The sequence below is a fragment of the Homo sapiens genome, chromosome 9 (genome assembly GCF_000001405.40).
Source record: "Homo sapiens chromosome 9, GRCh38.p14 Primary Assembly".
Classification (NCBI taxonomy): Eukaryota; Metazoa; Chordata; class Mammalia; order Primates; family Hominidae; genus Homo; species Homo sapiens.
The window spans coordinates 97811520-97835434 of record NC_000009.12 but is presented as its reverse complement, the minus strand read 5'-3'; the positions used below and the strand labels follow the sequence as shown (position 1 = coordinate 97835434).

General features: G+C 38.8%; 1 long non-coding RNA gene across 1 annotated transcript in view, besides 1 other annotated feature; it reads left to right on the top strand.

The window, feature by feature from the left end:
* The window catches only part of PTCSC2 (papillary thyroid carcinoma susceptibility candidate 2), a 153456-nt gene that overhangs the window by 17646 nt on the left and 111895 nt on the right, over positions 1 to 23915 (top strand). The window lies entirely within an intron of this gene.
* Positions 7736 to 7957: a silencer, noted in NCBI's record as "fragment chr9:100589760-100589981 (GRCh37/hg19 assembly coordinates)". NCBI's record gives its function as "represses an EF-1alpha promoter that drives an FKBP-Casp9 reporter gene in an ReSE screen in K562 erythroleukemia cells {active_cell/tissue: K562}" and the evidence as "EXISTENCE:reporter gene assay evidence [ECO:0000049][PMID:32094911]".

The following is a 23915-nucleotide window of genomic DNA, read 5'->3' as shown; positions in this document are numbered from 1 at the left end:
TATGTCATATTTTTTACTATCAAGTACTTAGGTGTGAATTAGCATAAGAAAATGATTGCTAATCAGAAGCATATAAATTCAGAGTCAGGAATGATGGTGATGCCAAACAACCAGATTGTCCACATGGGGGGCTGGGAGAGTGGCACCTTTGCCTTCTGATGGTTCAATGTACACAAACTTTATTTCATGCATAAAATTATAAAAATATTGTATAAAATTACATTTGGACTATGTCTATAAGGTATATATGAAACATAAATAAATTTTGTGTCTAGACCTGAGTCTTGTCCCCAAGAGATCTCTTTATGCACATGCAAACGTTCCAAAATCCCCCAAAATCCAAAATCTGAAGCACTCTGTTCCCAAGCATTTTGGATATGGGATACTCAACCTGTATTTTATATATATATATGTGTGTGTGTGTATGTATGTGTGTGTGTATATATGCATATATGACTACTTTTCAAATGTATGTCAAGCTGCGTGACAAATAAAATGCAAATTCATTTTAAGATGTTACTGAATTTTTGGTCATTTTTTGGACATAAAATTTCTCAGTGTTTACTGAAAAGTCTATCTACTTTGTATGTTGCAAGGACTGTGGAATTTATAGCTGTTAAAAAAGTATCTTCAAACTCAAATGATAGAGAAGCACTAAGACATTCCCCAAGGTCTCTTCTAGCCTGATGGAGTGATATTAACAATATTCTATTTTCTGAATTAGAGAGCCTGGAGCAGGGGTAGAGTATAATGTAAAATTATTATGTCAGTCATCATACTTATTGTGTTCAGGATGCTTTTCTGACAAGAGGGTATTGTAGGTTATAGGAAAGAAAGGCTCTACCAACAATGAAATGAGCAGGCCAAGACATTAGGATGCAGAGATTTTTATGGGAGGACAATAATAGGTTATTAGGAACTGATTATATGGTAGAAATAATGCAGGGGAAATGGTGGTCACTTTCTCCATTAAATGGCAATAGCTGTTGCATAACAACGATTGATGTAAATTAGTCTTTTTTTTTTTAATTGATGAAAGAAGAGTTTTGAGGGTAGAAAATTTCATCAAAAGAACCGAAATAGCATGTTCTTGAGTAGAATTCATGTTAGCTGCAGGAATTACAATTTCCTACTGTTTGGTAAGAACGTATCATAGATATAATGTTTTAACTAATAAAATTCAAATTTTTCTATAACTGAAAAAAATTTTAACACTCTGCAGGGCAGGAGGTATTGGCCAATCAGAATATGCCCTGGATCAATTAGAATGGAAGCCTGCTCAGACCGGGCCCCTGCGATGCCAGGCTTTAACCTTTTAGTTGCAAGTGGGTCCTGGGCATCCCAGGGGAAGGGTTGAGACAACCAGGACAGCTGGGGGAACAGGGTAGGCATGGGGAAGGGAGCTTGGGCAGTGGGTATGTATCTATGGGCATGGCTGTCTTTCAGTATCTCCATATTCAGAGGTTGAATGTAGGCCATCCTTCCAGCTGCAGCACTGAGTGGCATATGAGGCTTGCAGCCCAGGCTTGGCCTCTTGCCTCCCATACAGCCAACTCTCCATGGCCACAAGCCCATCTGGTATCACTGCATGCACTCTTCTGCTCCAAATTTGACTTTAAAATGCTCCACTGTGCTGGGCAGTTTTCCACCCAGGTGATAAACTTGTGAACCTCCAAATCAGGCTTTGGTTGAATGAGTTCATCTCCTGCTCACAGCCTGTGTACAGGTGAACTGTGTAGAGGAAAGAAGGCTAAATTTGGGGTCAGGAGCCTGGTTCTGGGTTCACATCTCAGCTCTACTACTGTTTCCCCGTATGCCTCTGGGTAAGTCATTTCATCCCTGTGACCTCAGTTTCATGGTCAGTAAAACAGGGTGATGACTTCTGCCATTGTAGGGCCCCTCACAGGACTGTGCTGAGGTTTAAATAAGACAAAGGAGGTGAAGCACTTTGCAAACTGTAAGGCTCAGTGCACACATGAGTGAGTCTGTATTCCATAGACTGAAGGATCTGGCTGTTGAGAATGTTGCTGGTCTGTTTCTGATTAAATCAGGAGTTACATAGATGCCATTTATTTAGAATGTTCCCTGACTATCCTCAAATATGCCCATAATGTAGCTTTGGCTTTTCATGGAGAGGGGAGGGTGGGCTGCAGAAGGTGTGATCTTTCTTTCCCATTAACCCTACAGCCTCACACAAAATCAGAGCTGAAATGGACTGCCAAAGAATACCTACTCCACCTCTCTCAGTTCAATTAATGGGATCCCTGAGATCCAGAGAGGGCCAGTGAGTGCCCATAATGCATTATTAGTAGAGCCAGAACCAGTTCTTTTGATTCCCAACTCTTTTCGTCACAGCATGTGACATGTCTTGTGGCTAACTTTTCATTCAGATTTATGTTTTCTTTCATTCAATAGCATTTATTGAGTCCCTACTAAGTGTTGGTTTCTGTGATGATCACTTGGGGTAGACAAATGGGGTGCAATTCTGCTTTCAGGTTGCTCATGGCTCTGGGCAGAGAATGCTCTTTCAGAGTCCTGAGCGAGGGACAGGTAAAGTTCTATCTGTGTAGATTTGGCCACCTTCTTTGAGGGTGGCGGTGGTTTTTGAGAATGGTCAAGAAGTGTGATTCTATAACCCCAGCACTTTGGAAGGCCAAGGTGAGAGGATTGCTTGAGGCCAGAAGTTGGAGACCAGCCTTCTCAACATAGCAAGACCCCTATCTCTGCAAAAAATTTAAAAAACTAGGTAAGTGCAGTGTTGCACACTTATAGTCCCAGCTGCTGTGGAGGCTGAGGTGGGAGAATCTCTGAAGACTTTGAGGGTGCAGTGAGCTGTAATTGCACTGCTCTCCAGCCTGGGTGACAGAGCGAGACCCAGTCTCAAAAAAAAAAAAAAGTGTGATGAAGCTCTGCAATGCTGACCTAATACCAATGATGACCAAGCATTCTCACCTTCCTGTCTCATTTAGTTTTTACAACAATTTCCTCTCATATTGCAAATGAGGAAGTTGAGACTCAGAAAAGAGAAGGCATATGGCTGGGGTCACAGATCTGGAAAGAACCACAGTCACTTTGATGGATTCCAGGGCCTTGTAGGTCTTACGAACTGGCTTAATTCAGGGAGAAAGAGCAGGGCTCAGGTGCTTGGGAGACCTGGGTTCAAATTCCAGCTATGCCACTTCCCAGCTGGGTGACTTGGGCAAATTACTGTTATAGAGACTCAGTTTCCTCATGTGCAAAGTAGAGAGATAATAGGGTATGTACCTTAGGGGCTCCTTGAAGGTGCTATCAGCGACTGAGGGTAAAGCCCCCAGCTAGTGCCTCTCGCATACAACGATACAGTGGGAACTCCATACATGCTCCTTTGCAGCCCCTCCCGGCCCCTGCTGTGAGTGGCTTGGTCAGTATTCCTGGCTCTCCGGAGCAGTTCTGTGCTCCCAGGAGAGTGGCCTGGAAGGTTTTCCTCTGTCGAACAATAACAAGGGCAGCGGCAAAGGTGAGGTTTGCTGAAGGTGCAGGCCTGAAAACTGGGGCCCTCTCCCCCAAATTTCGATCTCTCTCTTTTCCTCTCTGTCTTCTTCCCTATCCCTCTACTCCCTTCTCTCTCCCTCTACCCTCTTATCTCCCCTCCCCCTTCCTCTCTGTCTCCCACCCCTCCCCCTTTTCTTCCCTGTCTCTCTCCTGGGTGGAGCCTACTCCAAGCTTCTGAAGGCGCAGTGTGGATACCCAGAGTGGCTGGCCACGCCTGACTGCACAGGTGTCAGTTCTGTCTTGTCCCTTCTGCATTCCGGCTTCGTATGTCAGCACCTATGAAAATCTTCCAGGTCTTGGGTTTGAATAGCCCCTTAGCTGCCTGGGAGACAGGAGGCTGGCTCTGTTTTGCCTGTCAAATCATCCGCTTTGTTTGTCTACGGGCAGGTAAGCCGGGTCCTCTTCCATAATACAGACAGGGCCATCAGTGTCAGGGCTGATTCTACCAGGCTCAGACTGAACAAACAGCCATCTGCCCCACCGGTGAGGCCAAGGCCAGGCAGCGGCAGGGCCTGCTATTCTTCAGGAGCCGTTTGATGACAGGCTGGGAGTGGATATCACTCCACTGGGAGGGAGCTGAGCTCAGACTTGCCTCTTCCAGCCGGCGCAAATCCTCCTTTCCTGACTGGGTCTAACCTTCCGAAGGACTCCCACTTTCACTCCTGCCATCATCAGCATGTGATACAATGAGATAAAGAAATGGGCACAATGAAAGGAGACAGAGATCTTGCTACACAAAGAGTCCATGAACATATACAGAAAACCCCATAATCTGCCAGATTTCTTCTTTTGCTTTGCTGCTAGGAGACATGGAAGGAATTTAGTGCTGGTGGTAATTATTAACTCACCCCAATGGTCTGGCAACATCCTCTGCTCTTTTGAATTGGTTCTCTTAGTTTAAAATTCATCTTTCTTGGATATATTTTTTTTATTGTGGTAAAAAACATGTAACATAAAATTTACCATTAATGACATCGAGTAATTCACAATGCCATGCAATCGATTGTGCACTCACAATCTGCACCACTATCTAGTTCCAGAATGTTTTCCTCATCCCAAAAGGTAACCCCTTATCCACTAAGCAGTCACTCCCCATTCTTTAACTTTTAAGACATCACAGATATCTTTGTGAAATGAGTAGGGGGTATAGATTCTAAATAAAAATAATAGATCAAAGAACAGACAACTTTTACATTTCATTGCATTAGCTGTACCTATTCACCTTTTATTTTTCCAAATTCATTTTTGTTTCATTTTCTTTTGTCCATTGAGGGTCTGAGTTGTGGGCCATTTCTGACCTGTCATTCCAAATTCCATTCCTTCTTTTCCCATCCCTTTTTCCTCTTTTTTCTCTTCCCTTCCTTCAGATCTTCAGGTCTACTGTTTATCTACTTAATTACCTATTATCTATCTATCTATCCATATTTCTGTCTCATCCATCATGTTTCAAAAATCTATCATCTATCCATGTGTCACCTACGTATCTATCTACCTATTAAAAATCTTTCATCTGTCCATCAATCATATATCTATTACATCTCTATCACATTTCTATTCTCCACCCATCTTTCTATGCTTCTCTTTGTAAATCTAGATAATTGGTTCTCAGTCCTGCACATTAAAATCACCTGGAAATACATTGAAATCACCTGAAGAGTTTTTAAAATCTATGGATGCCTGGGCTCCATTTCAGGCCAATTGAAATAGAATATTTTGGTGTAGGGCCTGGTGATCTGTATATTTTGAAAGTCCTCCCAGATGAGGCTGGGTACATTGGCTCACACCTGTAACCCCAGCACTTTGGGAGGCCGAGGGGGTGGATCATGAGGTCAACAGATCGAGACCATCCCGGCCAACATAGTGAAACCCCGTCTCTACTAAAAATACAAAAATTAGATGGGCATGGTGGTGCACGCCTCCAGCTACTCGGGAGGCTGAGGCAGGAGAATTGCTTGAACTGGGACCCGGGAGGTGGAGGTTGCAGTGAGCTGAGATTGTGCCAGTGTACATCAGCCTGATGACAGAGCGAGACTCAGCCTCAAAAAAAAAAAAAAAAAAAAAAAGTCCCCCCAGATGATTCCAAAGCATAGTGAATGTTAAGAAGCACTCACTTGGACATACCTCTCTGATACTTAACCTTCTGCAAAAACTCCTTGTCTGAGCTCTGGTCCTCAGTTGGCCTATTTTTTATATAAATGGAAGTTTTCTACACATAATCCTTCATAATTTGCTTTAATAATATGTATAAATGACTTTCTATGTAGTTAAATATTTTTTAAGAGCATCATGTAAAATGTTGCTTAGTATTCTATTAGCATATATGTTACATTTATTTTGTCTTCTGTTGGGATTCTGATTAGGATTATATGAAGTCTATAAATGAGTAAGGGATAACATGTATATTTGATATATATGTTTAATTTAAAAAATTGGAATTTTAAGCATATACAAAACAAATAGTATGATGTATCCCTTTGTACTCATTACCCAGCCCTAACAGCCATCAATCCTGTCCAATTTGGTACCATCTGTGCCCCCATCGTCCCCTGTGCTCATATTATTTTGAAACAAATCCCAGACGTCATTTAAATTCATCTGTAAATATTTCAGTGTATATCTCTAAAAGATATCAAAACCCCAATACTGTTGTTGTACTCCCCAAAAATTAACAATAAGTCTTTAATATCATCAAGGGCAACTTGATGACTTGTTAAAAGTCAAGGTTTAAATTTCCAACTCATTCATTCATTTCATGAATTTATTTGTTTTTGTTTCTACATTTTGTTTTGGGTTGGCTTTCAGTAGTCTTATCTCACTTAATACATAAAGTATTGCTCCATCTTTTATTTTCTCTGGAATTTATTTGTTGAAGAAGCTGGATTGTTGGTCTTATAGAGTTTTCCATATTCTGAATTGTATTTTTATGGTGTAGTTCAACATGTTTTTATCTTCTGTATTTCTCATAAATTAGTGGCTTGGGCTAATACTTTGTATGACATTGAGCCTTTCAATTCATGAACATGTTTTATTTATAATTTGTTTAGGTTTTCCTTAATGTCTATCAATAAAGTTTTCTATTTTCTCAGTAAAGGCCTTGTGCATCTTATTGAAATTATTTCTAACACTTTGTCTTTTTAAAAAATAAAATTGAAAATATTAGGTCTTCTTAAATTGAAGTTTCTACTTGTTTATTGCTGATGGATATAACAGCACTGAACTTTTTACATTAATTTTGTAACTGGTTATTTGGCAACTGGTTAAACTCTCTTAAAAAATCTAATAATTTATTCTAGAGTTCTTTGTGTTTTGAGTGTATATAATTATATAATTTGTGAGTAACGACACTTCTGTTTTTTCCTTTCAAATATGTATGTAACTTTTCTCTTGCTTTATTGCTTTCAATACAATGATGAATTAAAGTGATGATATTGGGCATCCTTGTTTTGATCTCTATCTAAAAATAATGTTTTAATGTTTCACAAATAAATATAGTATTTTGCCATAGTTTTTTTTTGGTTGGGGGGGATACACTTATCAAGTTAAGAAGTTTCCCTCTGTGCCTAGATTTTAGGGAATTATGTCATAGATTGGATGTTGATTTTTTAAATGCTATTTCTGCATTTATTGAGATAATCATATTCTTTAACCTGTTAATATTAATCTGATTTTTGAAAATGTTAAACCACCTTGTATTTTGGCGATATACCTTATCTAGAGCAAGATATACTATCATTTTTATATATTATTGGATTTGATTTGCTCATATTTTGTTTGCAAGTTTGGTATCCAGCTCATGAATAAGGTTGATCCATAATCAATTATCCTTTCTTTTAATGTTATTTTCAAGGTTTTGTGTCAAGTTTATGGTATCATCATGAAATAATTGGGGAATAGTCCTGTCTAGTCTGTTTGGGCTGCTGTAACAAAATAACTCAGATACTGGGCAATTTGCAAACAACGTGAATTTATTGCTTACAGTTTTGGAGCCTGGGAAGTCCAAGATCAAGTCAACAGCACATTCAGTGTCTGGTGAGGGCTTCTCTCTGCTTCTAAGATGGCACCTTCTATCTGTGTCCTTATATGATAGAATGGGTGAACAAGCTCCTTTTGGCTTCTTTTATAAAGGTGCTAATCCCATTCATGAATGCTCTCGCCTCCCAAAGGCCTCCCCTCTTAATGCTATTGCACTGGGGATTAGGTAGCAATATATGAATTTTGAGGGGGACACAAACAGTCAGACCGCAGTGAGTCTCATTTTCTGTTTCTTTTTCTTTTCTCTTTTTTTTTTTGAGATGGAGGTCCCGCTCTGCCGCCCAGGCTGGAGTGCAGCGGCGTGATCTCGGCTCATTGTAACCTCCACCTCCCGGGTTCAAGTGATTATCTTGCCTCAGCCTTCCTGAGTAGCTGGGATCACAGACATCCACAACCACGTCTAGCTAATTTTTGAATTTTTCAGTACAGACGGGGTTTCTCCATGTTGGTCAGGCTGGTCTCGAACTCCTGACCTCAGGGGATCCATCCGCCTCAGCCCCCAAAAGTGCTGGGATTACAAGTGTGAGCCACCATGCCCCGCCCCATTTTCTATTAGGATTTTTTTTCTTAAGTGTTTGAAAGATTTTGCTATTAAAATCTTTTGGGTTTGCTGATTCCTTTGTGGAAATTTTTTAAACAATTCAATGTGTGTGACAATTGTAGGACTACTAGGTTTTATGTTTTTTTCTTGTCAGTTTTAAAAAAATTAATATACTGTTTTAGAGCAGCTTAGATTTATAGCAAAACTGAGAAGAAAATGCGAAGAGTTTTCACATACTGCAATCCCACCCCTCAACACACATACGACCATCAACTTTCCCCACTAGTGTGGTGCACTTGTTACAATTGATGAACCAACATTGACACATCGCTACCAGCTAAAGTCTGTAGATTGTATTAGGGTTAACTCTCTTTATTTATAGTGTATGGGTTTTGAAAAATGTATAATGGCAAGTGTCCATCATTATAGTATAATACAGAATAGTTTCACTGCCTTAAAATCCCCTGTGATCCACTTATTCATACCTTAGTTCCCCCGGCAATCACTGGTCTTTTTACTGTCTCCATAGTTTTGCCTTTTCCAGAATATCATATAATTGGAATCACACAGTAGGTAGCCTTTTCAGATTGGTTTCTTTCACCTAGTGATATGGATTTAAGGATCCTCCATGTGTTTTCATGGCTTGATGGCTTGTTTCTTTTTATCACTGAATAATATTCCACTGTATGGATGTAATTATTTATCCACTCAGCTATTGAAGGACATCTTAGTTACTTCCACACTTTGGCAATTGTCTTAATCCATTTGTGCTGTGACAAAAAATACCACAGACTGGGTTTTTTCATTTCTCACGGTTCGGAAGGCTGGGAAGTCCATGATCAAGGCAAGCTTGGTATCTGATGAGGACTGCTCGCTCTGCTTCTAACATGGTGCTTTGTTACTGCATCCTCCAGAGGGGAGGAATGCTGTGTCCTCACATGGCAGAATGGACGGATGTGTAAAAAGGCGCAAATTCCCTCTGCCAAGCACTTTTATAAGGGTATCTAATCCCATTCATGAGGGTGGAGTCCTCATGACTCAATCACCTCCTAAAGGCTATACCTCTTAATAATACTGTTGCATTGGGGATTCAGTTTCAACATGAATTTTGAAGGGGCAAAAATATTCAAACCATAACAGTAATTATGAATAAAGCTGCTATAAACATTTGTGTGCAGGCTTTTGTACAGACATACATTTTCAAGTTATCTGAGTAATTACTGGATCATATGGTAAGAGTATGTTTAGTTTTGTAAGAAACTGCCAAACTGTGTTTCAAAGTGGCTGTGCCATTTTGCATTTCCACCAGCAATGAATGAAAGTTCCTTTTCTTCTATATCCTTGCCAGCATTTGGTGTTGTTAGTATTTTGGATTTTTGCCATTCTAATAGATGTAAAGTGGTATCTTATTGTTGTTTTAATTTGCAATTCCCTAATGATGTATGATATCCTTTGTCATCTGTATAACTTTCCTTGGTGAGGTGTTTGTTCAGATTTTTTTGCCCATTTTAAACATTGGGTTGCTTTCTTATTGTTAGGTTTTAAGAGTTCTTTGTAATTTTGGACAACTGTTCTTTATCAGATATATGCTTTGAAAATATCTTTTCTCAGTCTATGGCTTGACTTCTCATTCTCTTGACAGTATCTTATGCAGAATAGAATTTGTTTTTATGTCCAACTTTAAATTTTTTTTTCTTTCATGGATCATGCCTTTGGTGTATCTAAAAAGTCATTGCCAAACCCAAGGTCATCTAGATTTTCTCCTGTGTTATCTTCTAGGAGTTTTATCGTTTTTCATTTTACATTTTGGTTTATGTTCTCTTTTGAGTTAATTTTTGTGATAGGTATGAAGGCTGTGTGTAGATTAATTTTTTTTTGCATGTAAAAATGTCCAGTTGTTCCAGTACCCTTTTTGACAAGATTGTTCTGCCTCCATTGAATCGCTTTTGCTCCTTTGCCAAAGATCAGTTGACTATATTTGTATGGGCCTATTTTCATGCTATTATGTTTTACTGGGACTTTTAAAATTCCCTTGCCAATGCCACACTGTTGCCTTCATTGCTGTAGCTTTATAGTAAGCCTTGAAGTTGAATAGTGTCAATTTCCTAACTATGTTGTCCTCCAGTATTGTGTTGGCTATTGTGAGTTGTTTGCCTCATCATATAAACTTTTTTTCTTTGGTAGAGATGGGGGTCTCACTATGTTCCCCCAGGCTGGTCTTGAACTCCTGGCCTCAAATGATCCTCCCCAGTCAAAGTGCTGGAATTACAAAGGTGAGCCACCATGCCTGGCCAGCCATATACACTTTAGAATCAATTTGTCAATATCCACAAATCACTTGCTGGGATTTTGATTGGTATTGTGTAGAACCTATAGATCAAGTTGGAAAGAAATGATATCTGAACAACATTAAGTCCTCCTAATCATGAACATGATTATAGCTATCCATTTATTTTTAATTCTTTGATTTCTTTCATAAAATTTTTATAGTTTTCTTCATATAGATCTTGTACATATTTTGTTAGATTTATACCTAAGTATCTCTTTTTTAGTCTAATATGACTGGTATTATTTTATAATTTTTTAATAAAATATTTTAAATTTAAATTTTAATTTCAATTGAATTATTTTAAATTTCAAATTCCATTTGTTAGTTACTGGTCTATAGGATAGCAATTGATTTTGGTATATTAACCTTGTATCCTACAACCTATTAGTTCCAGGAGGTTTTTGTTTTGTTTTTGGTCAGCTCTTTGGGATTTGCTATATGGACAATCATGTAATCTGTGAACAAAGACAGTTTTATTTCTTCCTTCCCAATCTGTATACCTTTTATTTCCTTTTCTTATCTTATCACATTAGCTAGGACTTCCTGTTACTGGTTTCTAATTTAATTCTATTGTGGTCTGGGAACATTAATGGCATGATTTCTATTCTTCTAAATGCATTAAGGTGCGTTTTATGGCCCAGAATGTGGTCTGTCTTAGTCTATCTTCTCAAGCTCCATTTGAGCTTGAGAAGAATACATATTCTGCTATTGTTGAGAGAAGTATTCTATAAATGCTAAGTTATTGTCATAGCCTTGTGTTCATATTTTCAAGACTCTTTTAGTTTCTGATACATAGTATATACAATTTAAAATTTTTATTTAGATAGTTCTAATAGCTTAAGTCTACAGTTTTTGCAGTTCTGATCTGCCACCTCATTTTTTGTGTGGTACATTTCTGACTGAGATATTCATTTTTAATAGAACTTCATCTTTGGAAATGCTTTAGGCTTTATATCCTCTTTCTTTTTTTTTAATGAGTGGAACTACTCTCCCAAATTTCTCTGTTTTCTTTCTATATAAAAGCCAACTTGTCTTTATATGAAGTTATTGGTACGCAACATTTCTTACTCTCAAAAACTTTGTAAATGTTACTTTATTATCTTTCATGCTACTTTTGCAAAAGACAAGTTTGAAGTTAAATTGAGTTTTGTTTTTTTGTGGTAACTTTAGTTTTCTGTCTGTGTGGATTTTAAAAATTGCTCTCAGTTCTAAATGTTTTCTAGAATATATTTAGATGGAGCCTCTTTTATTGATTTTGCACAGCACATGATTAAACCTTTCAATCCCACATACACCAGTTTTTTTCCCGTCTCTGTAAAAGTTCTCTTTTCTAGCTTTTATATTGTCATGTGCTTCATTTATTCTAATCTCTTAAGGAACACCAAATAAGTGTATATTGGCTTTATGCTTATTTTTCCTCAACATCTATCATCTTGTCTTTCACCGACTTATCCTATGTTCAACATTGTCAGTGCTCTGCTGTGTCACATAGGACTTACCTCTATTCACTGGAGGCTGCTTACTGGGAACACCTATGACTTTCCTGAGGACTTTCTTCTATCTATGAGAGTATACTTAGCCTGCATGTGGAACAAAATGAAAGTTCTAGGAAGTTAATGCCCCCAGGAGTCACAGAAAATGATGACAGATATAGAGTTGATGGGTAAATACTCCAGCTTCCTCACTTGTCAGGTGGGGTCATTCTGAGGTATGATTTGCAGTGTCTCTGAGGGTTCCCCTGTGGGACTGAGCCCCAGTTGCCCATGGTGGAAACCGGCTTGATAACTTACCCTTTACAGGGTTTCTTTCCTTGCCTGACCCACTGCCTTATCCCCCTACTGGTGCTTCCTAGGGTCACTTCTAAAATAAACTACTTGCATCCATAACCTTGTCTCAGGGTCAACTTCTGGGGGAAACCCAGCTTAAAACAGACATTTGTTTCTAATTTTTATTATTATAAATAATGTGGCAATGAATATGTTTGTACAGGAGTCTTTGCAACTTTCATTATTTAAAAAATAGATTCTCAGAAGTGGAATTGCTAGGTCATAGGACATTAATATTTTAAATCTGTAGTAGATATTGCCAAATTCCAGGTAGGTTTTGGACAGGAGTTGGCTAGCAATCATTCTATAGCTGGTCTCACTGAAAGACATCAGTGTTGACAACTGCTTCATTTTTTTGTGCTTGCTCATTGCTATCGTTTGACTGTCCCAGCCAAAACGCATGTTGAAATTTAATTGCCATTGCAACTGTTGAGAGGCAAGACTTTTTTGTTTGTTTGTTTGTTTCTTTGTTTTTGGGATGGACTCTTGCTCTGTTGCCCAGGCTGAAGTGCAATGGGCGATCTCAGCTCACTGCAACCTCTGCCTCCTGGGTTCAAGCGATTCTCCTGTCTCAGCCTCCCAAGTAGCTGGGATTACAGGTGCCCGCCACCACACCAAGCTAAATTTTGTATTTTTAGTAGAGATGGGGTTTTGCCATGTTGGCCAGACTGGTCTCAAACTCCTGACCTCAAGTGATCTGCCCGCCTCAGCCTCCCAAAGTGCTGGGATTACAGGTGTGAGCCACCGCGCCCGTCCGAGGCAAGACCTTTAAGAGGTGATTAGGTCAAGAGGGCTCCACCTCATGAATGGATTAATGGCATTATTGCAGGAGTGGGTTACTTATTGCGAGAGTTGGCTCCTAATAAAAATAATCCGTTTGCCTGATTTCCTCTCTCTGTCTTCTGCCTTCCACCCTCTTCCATGTGATGACCTTCACCAGATGATGGCTCCATGCTTTTGGACTTCCCAGCCTCCAGCACCATGAGAAATAAATTTCTTAAAAAAATTACTCAGTCTGTGCTATTCTATTTTGGCAGCAGAAAATGGACTAAGATGCCCATATCCTTATAATCTTAAAGAATAGGGGCAAGACAGGCTTTTCTGGAGTGAGAGGAGGTAAATGCTGGCTGTATGTGATTTTGTTAGGTTGGCCTCACATACCAATCTTACTCAAATGCATCTATTCTTATTTTGAATTTATTAATTCTTAGACTCCATAACATCCTGCCATAGACACTAACCTTAGCCACATACTTACTCATGTTCATGCTATTTATTTTATTTATGCGGTTTACCTTTGAAAGATCCTCAATTCGATAAGCACTCTTTCCCCCCAGCATTAGATATGAACAGATCTGTTTCATGTACTCGCCAGTGTGTTGAGCCAGGACCCTGGGTTCAAGGTTTATAATCTTGGATTCCTCCCCTTTCCTCTCTTAGCCTCAGCTAGAGTTGATGAAAATGAGACTTAGAGAGAGATGGTGACTTGCCAAGATCAAACATCAGGTTAAACATGGAGCTAGGTTCAGAATCTAGCCCATTTGAGATCCTAGAACTAAAAACAAAGCTAAACAAACAACCACACGAAACCCTTCTGGGGAGGCCGTGATCAATCTTCCCCACTCCCTGCCCTTGCCTGCTTTTTCTAGCTCAAGCAGATGTTCAATCTGCTACAAAGTTCCAGAGCCATCCTTCCTGATCAGGACTTTTCCCATCTCTCTGGGCTTCTCCCCACCATGCCTTCTTACCTGCCCTTCCCCCAAATATCTCTCTTGCTTTACTCTTACCTGATCCTGACCTGCCCTCACCCCACTCTCCTACCTTTCACCAGATGACTCCTCATGTGCCACCTCTTCAAGGAAGCTGTACCTGGTGATTGGTTTGTCTGTTTTCTGGACTAGACTAGAAGTTGTTGATGCCAGGAACGGCCACTATATCCCCAGCACTTGTCACAGTGCTTGGCCCAAAGCAGGTACTGAGTAAATATCTGCTAAATGGACAAATACCTACTAAATGAATGAAAGAAAAAATGAATGGAGGGCATTTGTTAATCTCCTTGAATGAGAATTTGTTTGAAGATTAGCAGTTAAATTATTTAAAAACTCATCCCCACAGAGAGTTAGGAAAATGAAACAAGAATGACAGGCAAAATGGCTGCTAAAAATACCAGTGCCTCAGGATCTTATTTTTCACACCTGGTATGGCGAGTTTTGTTTATTCAGAATTTTCTTATTTCCATGTAAATCACATTCACTGACATCAGTCTGGCTTAGATTCTATGTCTTCTTGTCCTTTGGTTAAAAAAAAATACTGTAGTTAGTAAGCTCCTGGACTTCACAGTCTGTTATTAAGAGCTGCCATTTAGTAGAGCTTCCTATGTCACAGAGTGTGCTAAGAGCCTCATATCTGATATCTAATTAAATCCTCCTGATACATATTATCACCTCCTTTTGTTGGTAAGGAAATGAAAGTCCAGAGAGATTAATTTATCATGGTTACCCAGGAAATGAGCAGTGAGGCTGGGGTTCGAACCCAGGTTGGATCTTTTCACACTCCATTTCTTATCTCCCTAATTGACAAAGTGGTTTCACTTCTATCATCTCAATGGCTCTTCAAAGCCCCCCTTCAGGGAAGGACAGCAGGGATCCTAATCCCACCTTATGAGTGTGGAAGGTGAGAAAGTCATTAGCAAATTTAGAACTTGAAACCAGTCCAGCAGATCCCTCACTCAGCCCTTGCTAGGTATGTGATTGTGGACAATTTACTTTCCTTCTCCAAGTCTCAGGGTCCTCATCTGAAAAATGGGAATCACTGAAGAACCCATCTGCAGGGTTGCTGGGAGGATGAAATGAGACAGTGGGGGTAAAGCAACTAGCAAGACCTGAGTTCTCTGCAGGAAGCCTGAACCTTTCAGGCAAAGCGAGGGAAGACAGAACCCTGAGACATGAGTGGGTAGAATGAGCTGAATCCTCAGGAGTAGCAAGGATGGATGGCTGAACTGTGCAGGCTTTATGGTGACCTCCCGCAGAGACCCACATGATGTTATCTGTGAGGGTTCAGAACTGCTAAGGGAATAAACAAGTCTAAGCTGCTGGGATGAAGCCAGTGAGGGCAGAAGTCCTCTGCCAGCCCCCTCTTCTCTGACCTTCTCTTTCTGCATGCCTTTCGCCTCACATTTCCCTCACCAGCTTCTCAAAGGCTCCTGTCTCTTCCTCCCACCTTCCAAGTCCCACCTACACACACACACACAAACACATACACACATACACACTCTCCTGGGACTCATACACTCTGTCCCAAGCACCAGCCATCACTTATCCCAACAGGTAGCCTTAGCAGTCTCCTATGCAGCTCTTCAGGGTCACTCACCCATTCACTCACTCATTCATTCATTCACCAAGCATTTCCCAAGATTTTGCCTGCCCTGTGCTGGTCCCACTGAGCTGAACAAGTCATGCCCCTCTGTCTGGTAAAGGAGCTTTCTTATCAGATCAGCAAGCTCTCAGTGATGCCTTTCAGCTACCTACCCTAACTACAGATATTTTTCTTTTTTCTTTTTCATTTTCTTTTTTTTTTTTTTTTTTTTTTCTGAGACAGAGTCTTGCTCTGTCGCCAGGCTGGAGTGCAGTGGTGCGATCTCGGCTCACTGCAACCTCCACCTCCCAAGTTCAAGCGATTCTCCTGCCTTATCCTCCTGAGTAGCTGGGACTACAGACGCATGCCACCACACCCAGCTAATTTTTGTATTTTTAGTAGAGACGGGGTTTCCCTGTTGGACAGGATGGTCTTGATCTCTTGACCTCATGATCCACCTGCCTTGACCTCCCAAAGTGCTGGGATTACAGGCATGAGCCACTGCGCCCAGCCTCCAGATATTTTTCTACCCTGTTGTCCTTAGGAACTCTTACCATTGGCATCCTATTTCTTATTTTTAAAAATATTAAAATATTACTATTCAAATAATGTTGAATTATATTATTAATGTTGTAACCCTTACCCAACCACCTGAACTTTCAGCTTTCATTTCTCCATGAATATCACTATGCTTATAGAGTTGATTTTGCTGGAAGGCAGTGTAACAAAGTGTTTAAAAGCTTGAACTTCGGGGTCAGCATGGATCACCTGGGCTTGAGTAATGTCTGTATGTTTTACTATCTGTGAGATCTTGAGAAAAGTCCTTTAACTTAACCAAATAAGTGAAAGATCTCATCAACAAAAACTATAAAACATGGATGAAAGAGATTGAAGAGGATACAAAAAATGGAAAGATATTCCATGTTCATGGATTGGAAGAATCAATATTGTTAAAATGTTCATAGTACCTAAAGCGATCTACATATTCAGTGCAATCCCTATCAAGATACCAAGGACACTCTTCACAGAAATAGAAAAATCAATCCTAAAACATATATGGATTTTATTTTATTTGTTGTGATTGTAAATGGGATTACTTTTTTATTTCTTTTCCAGAATGTTCACTCTTGGCATATAGAAATGCTACTGATTTTTGTGTGTTGATTTTGTATCCTGCAACTTCACTGAATTTGTTTATTAGTTCTAATACTTTTTTGGCAGAGTCTTTGGGTTTTTTAAAATATAAGATCATAGCACCTGTAAACAAAGATAATTTGACTTGTTCCTTTCCAATTTGGATGCCCATTATTTCTTTCTCTTGTCTAATTGCTGTAGCCAGAACTTCCCTAACCACATTTTTAAGGCCTCACAAATGCACACCTCTTTTTATGTGATATGTTAATAACCTCTTACAAAATTGAGCATCCAACTGTTATATAATCCAGTCATCAGGATGAGAAACAACACGGACACAAAAACAATATAATCAACCACTTTCAACATAGGTTAGAATCCTACAATCTGGGACTTATTTTTCAAATCCTCTACCCCAAGCAACAGTCATCAGAGGGTCTGGGGAAGAGAATGGAGCTGCAGCCTGTGAACCCAATCCTACATTAGGGAGAGGAGTCACATGGGTTGGAAATTTGAATTATGTCCACTACACTTATTCCGGTGGCCATTCTAATGCTCCATGTCCACTCTACCTCCCCAGCATCATCTTGATTTTGTCTCTCCTCTCCATTCCTTCTGTCAGTTACAAGACTATTGCAATCATCTCCTTACTGGTCTCCTTCTCCCAGTCTCTGCCCTCTCCAGTCTACCTCCCATACTAGCTTCCAGAGGGACCTTCTTTGAGCATAGTCTTGATAATGACACCTCCCTTCTCAAAAACGTACAATGACTTCTCATTGCCTACATAACAAAATTCAAACTGTAAGCCTGCCACTCAAAGCTGTCCATGATCTGGATTCTTTACCTCTCTCCAGACTTACTTCCCTCTTCCCCTTTCACACATCCTTTACTCCAACCAAATAGAGCTACCTGCTCTTCCCCAACTGTAGCCCCCTTGCTTTGCTTTTACTGTTCCTTCTGCCTGGAATGCCCTTCACAGAGCATCTCTGCAGACTGGCTCTTTCACTCTTCATCAGATGCCATCCCTCCATAAAGCCTTCTCTTTTTCCCAACTGGAAGTGATCTTTATTGCTTTGTGTAGTAGTCTTTGACTTACTCACCGACAAGGCCAGGAATGCTGCACTACACATCCCTGGGAATGGGGATGAGGGCATTCAGTTTGTAGTCTATGAGACTGGTTTTCCTTGGAGTTGTGCAGTAAGCACCACCTGTGCGGCCCTACATGATCACTCTGGGCAGGGCCACTTTAGCCACTGGAGACCAGAGTTACAGTCTTGGGAGTTTTCAAGAGCTTGCCCAAAATATATTGATTCCCAAACATAAAAAGAAAACTGTAAAATTGAAAATAATTCTAAATTTAAAAAAATTACTGAAATCTCCTATCTTTTACAGAAAAAACATTTAACTTTAACTGGTGGGATAAGGCTTACAAAAGAAAGAGTGATTAAGGCCCATGGTGACAATAATAATGATCATAGGTGACATTTATTGGGTGCTTACATGCTCTAAGCACTGTTCTAAGCGCTTTACATATTTTAAATTAATTTAACGTTTATAACACCTCTGTGAAGTTATGCTGCTAATATCCCTTTTTCACAGGTGAAGAAACTTAGATGTAGCTCAAGAATGTCTTAAAATGGCTCTGTTTGCCTGCATCATCCTTTAAGTCCTGGAAGCAGAGGCCATGAGTGATTAAATGCTATGTCCAGCTCAGGGCTTGGCATTGAGTAGGTGCTCAGGGCTATAAGATTAAGGAATAAATAAATAGTTGAGTTGATGCCCCTCCACAACATTTTAGATGTACTTCATTTATGGGATGCATTCCCTCCCTTATTAGGTTAGAGGATTTTTGTTCTTATATTCATCATCAGGCTCTTGTGAATTCAGTCACTTCTGTTGTAAGAAACAAGTTTGGGTTACTACTTTGCTAATGGACTATTGTGAGGATTCACAGAAGAAGATGCTTTTAACCTAGATATCCCATGCAAAGAGTGAGCTAAAGGGAGCTGAGATAGCTATTAATATATTATTGTCAAAACAGATTTTAAGTAAAGGGTTACAGGAGACAAAGAAGGACATCATATACTGATAAAATAGTCAATCCACTAATAAATATTAAATTTTATAATAATTATAAACATATACATATCTAAAAATAGAGTCCCAAAATATATGAAGCAAAAATTGACAAACTTGAAGAAAGAGACAGCTCTGCAGTCATAGTTGGAGACTTTAATATCTCTACTTTGAATAATGGATAGAACAACCAGATAGAAAATCAATAAGGAAATGGAAGACTTGAACAACACTATAAACCAATTAGACATAACGAACACATAAAACACTCCACTCAGCAATAGCAGAATATCCAGTCTTCTGAAGTACACATGGAACATTCTCCATGATAGGCCATATACTATGCCACAAAACAAGTCTTAATAAATTTTAAAAGATTAAAATCATAAACAGTATATTTTTCAACCATAATGGAATAAAATATGAAATTGATAACAGAAAGAAACTGAAAAACTCAAAAATATGTGGAAATTAAATAACATACTCTTAACCAATAGGTTAAAGAAGAAATCACAAGAGGAAATAAGAAAATACATTAAAACAAGTCAAAATGAAAAACACAACATAGCAAAACTTATGAGATACAGCAAAAGCAGTGTTCAGAAGGAAATTTATAACTGTAAGTATTTACATCAAAAAAGAAGAAAGATCTCAAATCAACAATCTAACAGTACATATTAAGGAACTAAAAAAAGAAGAGCAAATGAACACAAAGCTGGCAGAAGGAAGAAAATAACAAAAGATTAGAGAAGAGATAAGCAGAATAGAGAATAGAAAAATAGAGAAAAATCAATGAAACCAAAAGCTGGTTCTTTGAAAAGATCAACAAAATTGACAAACCTTTAGTTAGACTAAGAAACAGGAGGCCAGGCACGGTGGCTCAAGCCTGTAATCCCAGCACTTTGGGAGGCTGAGGTGGACAGATCGTGAGGTCAGGAGATCGAAACCATCCTGGCTAACACAGTGAAACCTCATGTCTACTAAAAATACAAAAAATTAGCTGGGCATTGTGGCATGCACTTCTAGTCCCAGCTATTCAGAAGGCTGAGGCAGGAGAATAGCTTGAACCCGGGAAGTGGAGGTTGCAGTGAGCCAAGATCACAGCACTGCACTCCGGCCTGGGCAACAGAGTGAGACTCCATCTCAAAAAAAAAAAAAAAAAAAGAAAGAAAGAAAAGAAAGAAAGAAAGAAAAAGAAAAGAAACAGTCCAGCCTGGGCAACAGAGTGAGACTCCGTCTCAAAAAAAAAAAAAAAAAAAGAAAGAAAGAAAAAGAAAAGAAACAGGAGACCCAAATTACTAAAATCACAAATGAAAGAAGGGCCATTACTACTGACTATAGAAATAAAAAGGATTATAAGAGAATGCTATGAAAAACTGTACAACAACAGACTGGATAACCTAGGTGAAATGGACAAATTTCTAAAAACACACAAACTTCCAGAACCGACACAAAACCTGCCAAGACTGAATTACAAACATATAGAAAACTCAAATAGACCTGTAAGAAGTAACAAAATTAAATCAGTAATCAAAAGCCTCTCAACAAAGAAAAATCCAGGACCAGAAGCTTTTATTGCTTTCACCACTTCTATTTAACATGGTACTGGATGTCCTAGCCAGGGGTAGTAGAAAAGAAATGGAAATAAAAGGCATCCAGATTGGAAACAAAAAAGCAAAACTATATTTTAAGATGACATAATTTTATATATGGAAAACCCTAAAGAATCCACCCACTTACACAAAAATGTGAGAGTTAGTAATGAATTTAGCAAAGTTGTAGGATACAAAATCTATGTACAAAAATCAGTTGTCTTTCTGTATACTAGCAATAAAAAATCCAAAGCAGAAATTAAGAAAACAATTCCATTTACAATAGCATCAAAAATAATAAAATATGCAGGAATAAATTTAACCAAGGAGGTGCAAGATGTACATTGAAAGCTACAAAACATTGCTGAAAGAAGTTAAAGAAAACCTAAATAAGTAAAAAGACATTCCTGTGTTTATGCGTTGTCAGACTTAATATTGATAAGATGTCAAGATTACCCAGTCATCTACAGACTCAATGCAATTCCCATAAAAAAATCCAATGGTTTCTTTTGCAGAAATGGAAAAACTCACCCTAAAATTTATGTGGAATTTCAAGGGATCCAGAATCGCCAAAACAATCTTAACAAAGAATGAAGTTGGAGGACTCTTTCATTCCAATTTCAAAACTTACCACAAAGCTACAGTAATCAAAACATGTGGTACTGGCATGCAGACCAGGGGAACAGGCTAATAGGCATATTAGACCAATGGAATAGAGTTAAGCATCCACAAATAAACCCTCACATCTATGGTCAGCTGATTTTTGAAAAGGGTGCCAAGGCCATTCAATGGGGAAAAACAGTCTCTTCAACAAATGGTGCTGGAAAAACTGGATATTCACATATAAAAGAATGAAGTTGGACCCTTACCTTATGTCATACACAAAAATTAATTCAAAATTGATTAAAGATCTAAATGTAAGAGCTAAAATTATAAAAACCTTGGAAAAAAATCATAGGGGCAAATCTTCATGACCTTGATTTGGTAATGGTTTCTTTTCTTTTGTTTTCTTTTCCTGAGACAGGTCTTACTCTGTGGCCTAGGCTAAAGTTCAGTGGTGCGATCACGGTTCACTGCAGCCTCAATCTCTTGGGCTCAAGTGATCCTCCCAACTCAGCCTGTCGAGTAACTGGGACTACAGGTGGACGCCACCACACCTGGCCAACTTTTGTATTTTTTGTAGCAACAGGGTTTTGCCATGTTGCCCAGGCTGGTCTTGAATTCCTGGGTTCAAGCGATCCACCCAACTCGGCCTCCCAAAGTGCTGGGATTACAGGTGTGAACCCACTGCACCCGGCCTGGCAATGGTTTCTTAACATCATTTTTTGACATTAAAAGCATAGGCAACAACAGCAAAAATAGATACATTGTACCTTCTCAAAACCAAAAACTTTCTTGAATCAAATGAAACTACCAAGTGAGTAAAAAGACAATCCATGGAAAGGGAGAAAATATTTTCATATCACACATTTGATAAAGTTTAATATCCAGAATATACAAAGAATTCTTACAACTGAAGAACAAAGAAACACCCAAACTACCCAATTAAAAATGGACAAAAGACTACAACAGACATTACTCCAAAGAAGTTATATAGGTGGCCAATCAGCATGTGAAAAGAAGCTCAACCTTATTGGTCATTATGGATATGCAAATAAAAACCACAATGAGATATCATTTCACATCTACTAGAAAAGGTAAAATTAAAAATGTGAAAAATAACAAGTGTTGGAGATGATGTAGAAAAACTGGAAACCTCATACACTGCTCTTGGGAATGTAAAATGGTGCAGCTACTGTTGAAACACTTTGGCAGTTCCTTAAAAAGTTAACTATAGAGTTACCATATGACCCAACAATTTCACTCCTAGGTATATACCCAAAGTAACTGAAAACAAGTGTTGAAAGAAACACTTGTACAAGAATGTTCACAGCAGCACTATTCAAAAATAGCTAAAAGGTGAAAACAATCCGTGTTCAGCAACAGAGGAATAAACAAAATGTGGTATGTATGTGTGTGTATATATATATATATATATATGTGTATATGTGTATATATGTATACACATATATATGTGTATATATATGTATATATGTGTATATATATGTGTATATATATACACATATATATGTCTCCTATATATATGTGTGTACATATATTCCTATATATGTGTGTATATATTTCTATATACATCTGTATGTATATAGGAATATTATTCAGCCATAAAGAAGGAATGCAGTGCTGATATATGCAACAAAATGTATGAACCTTGAAAACATTATGCTAAGTGAAAAAAGCCAGACACAAAGGGACAAACATTGTATTATTCCACATATATAAAATATCTAGAATAGGCAAATTTATACAGACAGAAAGTAGATTAGAGCTTACTAGGGACTGGGGACCAAGGGAATGGGAAGTTATTGTTTAGTGACTACACAGTTTTTGTTTGGAGTGACCAAAAAAATTTGGGACTAGATGGTGGTAACAGTTGTACAACACTGTAAATGTAATTAATGCCACTGAATTGCATACTTAAACGTGGTTAAAATGGCAGATTTTCTGTTACACATGTATTTTACCACAATCAAAAGAAGAAAAAACTTGTATGTCTCTGCCTGCCCCTCCCAAGGTTACTATAGCACCTGACACAAAATAGAAACACAGTAGGTGTTTGAACTGAGTTAGGCCCGAGGCTGGGAGCCCAAGAGCCTATGCAGAAAATGTTTAATGCTTCTGTTTTCTACAGAAATATTTATAGATTGACCATACAAAAGATAGTCAACCTTTTTCCTTCCTAGAGCTACCAGTGAATCTGGTGCCAAGGCAAGAGAGGAAAAGTCGATTTCTTATCTTTCTGAGACTGGCGGTGGCCCTTGCCAATTCAAGGTAAGTACATTTTTCCACAGAGCTGTTTTCCTCTCAAGGAGCTCTAGTTGTATTTGGAGAGTTCTTCTCCAACTAGTTCAGGCAATACAGCTACTCAGGGTTGAAGAAGGAGAGCTAATCTCAGAAGGATGAGTCACTGTGGTTTTCAGAGCCAGGATGAAGGGGGAATAAGGGCAAATTCAAAACAAGTGGAGGGGATGCTGCAGCACATGTGAGATGGAGGGCATGACAGTTCACTCCATACAGTCGTAGGTATGAAAACAAATTGCTATGTTCATACCATCGGCAGCAGACATGACAATCAGCGCCTTTGTCCGTAGCAGCTTGGAGTTGAGTGGGGTTTTTGCAGATAGTTGCCCTCATTTTGGAAGGGCATCTGGTCTCCATGTGAAATTCCTCAGCCCCTTATTAAGCACCTACTATCTGCCAGGCACTGGCAGGATGCCAGGAATACAAAATGAATGAGGTAAGGAATGAAGTACTGTACATGCCACAACATGGATAAAACTAAAAAAAAAATTATGCTAAGTGTAAGAAGCCGGACACAAAAGACCACATATTATATGATTCTGTTGATACATAATGTCAGAAAAAGCCAATCTATAGAAGCA